The sequence below is a fragment of the Homo sapiens genome, unplaced genomic scaffold (assembly GCF_000001405.40).
Source record: "Homo sapiens unplaced genomic scaffold, GRCh38.p14 Primary Assembly HSCHRUN_RANDOM_CTG10".
Taxonomy (NCBI): domain Eukaryota; kingdom Metazoa; phylum Chordata; class Mammalia; order Primates; family Hominidae; genus Homo; species Homo sapiens.
The window spans coordinates 92,259-99,975 of record NT_167213.1 but is presented as its reverse complement, the minus strand read 5'-3'; the positions used below and the strand labels follow the sequence as shown (position 1 = coordinate 99,975).

Sequence of the window (7,717 nt, the reverse complement as noted above, 5' to 3'; positions counted from 1 at the left end):
CACAGCCCCGAGTGACCCGCGCACGAGTGGCCCGCGCTTCCAGACGCGCCGCCGCAGGCCGACGAGGGAAGCCTGAGCCGCTTCCCGCCCCCGCGGAGACCGTCGCCAGCCCGCAGCTCTAGCGGGAGGCGGTTCCACAGCGCGCCCGGCAGCCCCGCCACCGTCAGCACCGGCGCCTCGGGCGGGCTTTCCCCACCTCTGGGAGGCACGAATCCTCAAGTGCTCCTCAAGAGGACGCCAGGGAACAGCTGTGTGTGGACACCTTTCGGCCCTCTGTGGCTGCCATAGCTCCCACCCCCCCGGGGCAGAAAACCGGAAGTGGAAATCTCAGCCATTCAGCGTTTGGGTGAAGACGGAGGCGGGTTCTGGACAGACGTACGCTGTCAGGGAGTGTTTACTTTGCCTCCACTTCTGTTCCTCCCCGCCCTGGTGCTGCTCCGGGTCACATACTCGTCCTGAGCCGGCTTCAGCCTCTCCGCGCAGAAGTGTCCCGGAGCCATGGCCGAGTACTCTTATGCGAAGTCTACCAAGCTTGTGCTCAAGGGAACCAAGACGAAGAGGTGGGTCCTGCACCTCCGGCGGGAGCCTCCTCAGTTCTTTTCGGACGCACTCCACCCCCCTCGAATCCGGTGGAAGCCGTGGCGCGGAGAGCCGGCTTTGTGGCCTCCCAGGCTTCGCCCTGGCCCCTGTCCGGGCTGGACGGAGGCCGGACCGCAGTTCCTGGCGCCTGTGCAGAGAGGGGCAGCCTCCCGCACTGACGACCCTGGAAACAGGATAGACGGGCGGGTGACCCGTGGCCCCGTACCCACGAGTTTCAGTCCTCTGAGGCATCTCTGCAGGCCTCTGCCTGGTGGGTCTCCGTTAGTCTAATCTTGTAGTTCATGATAATAACTTCCTTTATTAGGGATTATTCTTTTCTCCATTGTCTCTTCCTGGAAAAATTATTGATTAATTTTTTCTAAGCTAATATGTAGAGTGAAACCAGGAAATTGGTTAATATGTCTGAACTTCCATTTACTCATTAAGAGATCAAATATCTTTGAACCTCCGTTTATACATTTATACTTTCAGACCATTTTTTATACCTTTAGAAGACTGTGAGGATTAAATGAGAGAACATATATGCAGTAAATAAATTGAGCCAAATGTGAGGAGGTCGTAGTGGTAATTTATTAGCTCTTTAGGAGAAAAATACCTGTGCATTCATATCCCCGTTTCTTTTTTAACTGGCATATTTGCCTGAGGTTGACTGTACATGCAAATATTGAGCATTTCCTCCTGGTCTCCGTGATAAACAAAGGTTTTGATATTGTTAGGCGAGATGGAAAGAAAGTATCAAGGAGTGAGCTGAAGCCACTGCCCTTGAGAACCCTCTCGAGGAGTCTGGCCTCATGAAGATGCCAGAATAAACGGCAGGTATATCCTGAATGAATGTGAGATTTTTACTCTGTGAATTTCCTGTGAGGAGTGGTGAGTTATCTTCTGAAAACTTTATGATGAAAATGCATACAAGAGTGTCTTAAGATTATCGTAATAATCATAATTAATGCTCATATAGCACTTTCAATACGCCAAGAAATTGTTGTAGGCACTTTGCACATTAACTTTTTTCAAATCGCTCTTGGGTTTTTATTTTTTTATTGCGATGTAATTCATAATTATAAAATTCACCATTCTGTACAGTCAGTGGTTTTTAGTATATATTCAAGAGGTTCACCACTGTCTAGTTGCTCAGCATTTTCATCATCTCAGAAGAATCTCTTCCTACCCATTAAAGCAGTCACATCCCATCCTCCCCCTCTCCTAGTCCTTGGCAACCACTAGTCTGCTATCTATGTGAAATTGCCTATTCTGAATATTTCCTAAGAAATCATGCAACATGTGGCCTTTTGTATCTGGCTTCTTTCACTTATAACATTCTTGAGGTCCATCATTGTTGTAGCACTTGTTCCTTTTTATGACTGCGTAGTATTCCATTGTATGGATGTAACATTTTGTTCATCCATTCATCAGTTGATGAACATTTAGGTTGTTTCCCCTTTTTGACTATTGTGACTAATGCTAGTGTGAATATTCTTATGTAAGTATTTTTGTGGGTGTATGTTTTCATTTCCCTTGGGAATACATACTTAGGAGTAAAATTGCTGGGTCATATGGTAACTCTTTAACTTTTTGAGGAACCCTAAACTGTTTCCTGTAGATGCTGCACCATTTTACATTTCTACCAGCAATGTGTGAAGATACATATTACCTCTTAATCCTCACAATAGCCTTAAGAATTAAGTTGCTATCCTAATTTTTTAAGTGGGAAACTGACTCACAGAGAGATTCAGTACCTTTTCCAAAAATCACAGAGCTAAGAAGTGACAGAATCGGGATATAAAATCTGGCAGTGTGGCTCTACAATCTGCTTTGAACTTTAACATAATATGTACAAAGCCTGAAGCAACTTCTCAGTACTGTATTTAAGAGGGCATAGCAATGTAAGTCTTCCTAAATCAATAATTTATAAATGTAACAGCTTAAAAGACTTCCAAGTTTCAATCTTACAATATTTATTTATCACACAAGTCAATATATCTAAACTCATCTGTATAAATTATGTCCTGTAGTAAGAAGAAAAAGAGCAAAGAGAAGAAGAGAAAAAGAGAAGAAGATGAAGAAACCCAGTTTGATATGTTGGTGAGTCAGTTTTCAGTGCTTTATTCTGAAAAAAGTTAACATTTGTTGAGATCTCATTGAAAATATTTTCCTAGTTAGAAATTTATGATGTACTCATATTAGTCTTAAAGTGCTTAAATATTACCTACAGTTGTAAATTCCATTTATTCTTTAGCACAGTAGATGCTACTGATCCCTTTACTTCATTATCAGAACAGAGCACAGGAGAGAATTACAACTCTCTGACTTAGTAGGCAACATTAGACTGCTTAATAGCCGGAAATTCTGATACATAATTATAAAGGCTTAATGTAAATGTTATTCAACGAACTATATTTTACAAGTTATTTTCTTTGAACATGTATAACTTTTAGTTGTAGAAGTCAGTTGTCTCTTAAACGAAGTATCTTCACAGGAAAAATCATTATTTTGTGAACTCTGAAATGAATGAAAATTTTAAATACAGTATCAGGGTAGCCTGTAAATGATACTAGAAATAAACTGGCCCAAACACACTTAACCAGCCTGTTTTCTGTTTAGCTGTTTCCATACTTTTTTTTTCTCTTTTAAAACTTGGCAAGTTGCATTTTGAATCTTCATAAATTATGGTAGCTTAAAAAATATATAAAATATGGAATGGTAGAAAGCTAATGTTCTGGAAGGATCATTGCTTTTGAAATGGCAATTCAACAATTCTAAAATTAGGGTAAATATCTAGGGTAGATATATAGATGTGGAATTGCTGTGTCAAAGGATAGGTGAATGTTTAACTATGTAAGAAACTGCCAAAAATTTTCTAAAGTGGTTGTGCTATTTTACCCTCCCACCAAGAATTAATTAGTTCTCCAGTTACATCCTTGCCAAGAGTTAATGGTGTTATCAGTCTTTTCTCCCAGTCTGAGTTTTACCTTTTCAGTTTCTTAATGGTGGTTTTTGGATGGACAGCTTTTTTTTTTTTTTTTTTTTTTGAGATGGAGTCTCGCTCTGTTACCCAGGCTGGAGGGCAGTGGCGCAATCTCGGTTCACTGCAAGCTCCACCTCCCAGGTTCACGCCATTCTCCTGCCTCAGCCTCCCAAGTAGCTGGGACTACAGGCACCTGCCACCACGCTCAGCTAATTTTTTGTGTTTTTAGTAGTGACAGCGTTTCACCATGTTAGCCAGGATGGTCAGAAGCTTTTAATTTTTATAAAGCTTAGTTTATTTTTTAATTTTATGGTTACTGCCTTATCTCTTTGATCTAAGAGATCTTTGCTTACCCCAAAGTCAGGAAAATATTCTACATTGTCTTTCAGAGACATCATAGTTTTAGTTTTTACATTAAATCTGTCATTAATCTCAAATTAATTTTTGGCATGGTGTGAGTTTGGTTTCAAGATTTACTTTTTTTTTTAACATCTTGATAGCCATTTGTGCTAGCACCACTGGTGTTTCCTTTTTGCATTAATCCAGTTTCATATCTTCATAAAAAATCAATTAACTTTCTATGTATTGGTCTATTTCTGGACTCTGTTCTATCGATTGTCTGTTTTTCTGTTGGTATATTTCTCTTGATTTCTATAATTTCATGAAGTCTTGAGATCAGGTAGTATGTGCTCCAACTTTGTACTTACTAACTATTAGTTTATTAATTTCTACAGTGAAGCCTGTTGGATTTTCTCGGAGAATTGTATTGAGTCCAGATCATTTGGGGCGAGAATCAACATCTTAATATTGGGCCTCAATATTTCATAATTTTCAATGTAGCAGTATTGCATGCCTGTTTAAAAATTTATTCTTAAGTATTTTATAATTTGACACTACTGTCAGTAGAACTTTTGAATTTGATTTTCCAGTTGTTTGCTGTCAGTATGTAGATATACAATTGATTTTTGTATAGTGACTTTATAGTCTGATAACGTCTGTTTCACTTATTACTTCTAGTGGTTTGTTTATATAGAACACTAAGAAATTTGCAGTTATGTTTCCTGTGACTATCATTTTACTTCTTTCTTTCTAATCCTTATGTCTTGTCTTGCTTTTTATTGGTTTATTATACTGTCCAGGACTTCCATAGTGTTGAACAGAAGTCATGAGAATGGGCATAATTGCATTGTTTCCAAGCTTAGGCAGAAAGCTTTCAGTAGTCCACCATATGGTATGATGTCTGTAGGAACTGCAGAGAAAACCTTTATCAAAATGAAGACATTCCTTTTAAACTTTATTTCTTGGGAGTTTTTATCATAAGGATGTTTAATGCTGTCAAGTGCCTCTTTCTGTATCAGTTGAGATGATTACACAACTTTCTTCATTCTGCCAATGAATTACATTGGTTTCATTTTCAACTTTTAAACTCACTTTACATCCCTGAGATAAACCCCACTTGGTTGTGGTGCGTTGTCCTTTGGGATATTGCTAGAGTTGATTTCTAGGTGCTTTTTTTTTTTTTTTTTAAGATTTCTATATTGGTGTTGATGGGAGATATTGGACTTTTGTATCCTTTTCTTGTAATGGCTTTATTTGATTTTGGTGTCAAGGTGATATTGGGTGTCATAAAATTACATGGGAATTGCTGTCTCCTTCCCTGTTTTTGGAAATAGCTGTGTAAGATAGGTATGATTCTTCTTTACATGTTTGATAGGATTTACCAGTGAAGTCATCTGAACCTAGAGGGTTTTCTTTGGTTTGGTTTTTGTTTTTGTGGGAGAATTAAGATTTTTTAAGAGATATTTTCAGATTTTTCTGTTGTCGGTTTTGGTAATTTGTGTCTTTTAGGAAAATTTCATTTCATCCAAGTTGTTGGATTTATTGGCATAAAATTGTTCAGAATATTCCTTTAATATCCTTTTAATGTCTGTAGAATCTAATCTGTATTGCAGTCTCTTCATATTGGTAATTTGTGTTTTTTTCCATTTTTTCCTGGCTCAGTTAGTCTAGCTGGAGGTTTATCAATTCTTTATAAGATCATTTATTTTAGATCATTAATGATCTTTTAATACAGAGTTATTCAATCTTTTAGCTTCCCTGGGCCACAATGGAAGGAGAATTGTCTTGTGCCACACATAGAATACACTAATGATAAGCTGATGAGCCAAAAAAAAAAAAAAAAGCAAAAAAATCTCATAATGTTTCAAGAAAGTTTATGAATTTGTGTTGGGCTGTATTCAAAGCTGGCCTGGGCCACATGCAGCCCTTAGGTTGGACAAGCCTGTTTCAGTATTACTTATTTTCTCTTTTTTTCATGTTTTATTTCATTTATTTTCAGCCTTTTTTTCCCTCCATTTAACTTATTTTCAGTTTACTTTGCTCTTGTTTTATTGCTTCTTAAGAAGGGAGTTGGATCTCTTCATTCCATGTTAGTTTTAGTTATAGTCAACACATTTTGTTTTCATTTTCATTCCATTCAAAATATCATCCAGTTTTCCTTGTGATTTTTCTTTTCATGGACACTAGAGTTATTTAAAAGTGTATTGTTTTTAATTTCTACTACATAGAGATATTATAGGTATGTTATTGTTGCTGATTTCTAATTCATTTATAGTATAGTTGGAAAACATACTTTCTTAGTAAATTTCCATGTACACTTGAAAATAATGTGTATTCTGCAGTTTTGGTTCAGAGTTTTGTTTTTGTTTTTTTTTTTTTTTGGAGATGAAGTGTCACTCTGTTGCCCAGCAGGCTGGAGTGCAGTGGCGTGATCTCGGCTCACTGCAGCCTCCGCCTCCCAGGTTCAAGTGATTCTCCTGCCTCAGCCTCCGGAGGAGCTGGAATTACAGGCACCTGCTACCACGCCTGGCTATTTTTTTAATATATTTTTAATAGAGGCGGGGTTTCACCACGTTGGCCAAGCTGTTCTCAAACTCCTGACCTCAGGCCATCCATCCGCCTTGGCCTCCCAAAGTGCTGGGATTACAGGCATGAGCTGTGGCACCCTGTGGTTCAGTGTTCTTAAGATGTCAGTTAGATCAACTGGTGGAGCTTGTGACTATTCACATCTTCTGTGGCCTTACTGATTTTTTACTCATCCTACAATGTATTGAGAGTTATGTTAAAATCTCCAGCTGTAATTCTAGATCTGTCTACTTGAGCAGTTTTTGCTTAAAGTATTTTGAAGCTGTCATGTGTACACATTTAGGATTGTTAAGTCTTCCTTATAAATTCAGTCTTTCATTTTCATAACATTTTAACCTTTATTTCTGTTAAATGTCTTGATGCCTAGTTAAATTATTTGACCACCCTTTTGCTCCTGTCAAGCCTGGGCCTTTGTTAGTTTGTGCTTATTTATTAGGTTTTTGCCTGTAGACTTAGACAGTGACTCTTACTCTAGGAAAGATTCATCCTCATGGGCCCCAGCCACATGTTCTAGGTATACTTGGTGAGTTCTCTCCACTCTGCTATGTCCCAAATTTGTGTGATCTCTGGCATCTCCACTCAGCCCTCAGAAGTGCCAGCCACTCTGCAGAGGCCCTGTGGAGCCTGCCTACTGTATGCACTCCCCCCAGCCCTTGGCCCCAGGGCATACTCTTTTGAGGCCTCACCTGTATGTAGTTCCCTCTTCTCCAGTACCTTATTCTATAAACTCCAAACACGTTAGCACTGCAAGACTCTTAGCTTCGTGACAGTGACATTGCCTCATTTTTGGAGGTCTCTACCTCTCTCTGTGTGGTCAAGAAACTGCCATTGGACAGAAAAGAGAAGTGTATGTGAGATTTGCCTCCTGTGTTTTCCTGTTCTCAAATATCACAGTCCTGTTCTGCCTGTGTTCCAATCCCCGAAAACAGTTCTCTCAAATATTCTATCTAGTTTCAGTTTTCTCGTTGGTCATGGTGGGAGGGCAAGTCCATCTTGGCTGGAAGAGGAAGTCCTTCTGCATCTTTTTCTCTTTGTCCTTCCACCTTCTTTTGCATTGTGGATTCTCTAAACTTGCCGTATATGTAAGCATGTGCCTATTTGTCAAGGGAAAGGAAAAACCTTTTAATTTTTTAAAGCTGTTCTGTTGGTTCCTCACAAGGATCTGAAGGGATGGGTAACCAGGATGAAAGAAATTCTGTCTTTCACATGGAGAATACCGTGTGTGAC

The 7,717-nt window shown here is 39.1% G+C and overlaps 1 pseudogene across 1 annotated transcript in view; it reads left to right on the top strand.

Annotated features, from left to right (window-relative positions):
* The first annotated feature begins 333 nt into the window (after window positions 1-333).
* Window positions 334-7,717, top strand: part of LOC283788 (FSHD region gene 1 pseudogene) — a 43,294-nt pseudogene continuing 35,910 nt past the window's right edge. Inside the window, exons 1-2 of the transcript NR_027436.2 lie at window positions 334-850; window positions 2,613-2,682. The product of NR_027436.2 is annotated as an FSHD region gene 1 pseudogene (transcript). The remainder of the gene's footprint in view (window positions 851-2,612; window positions 2,683-7,717) is intronic.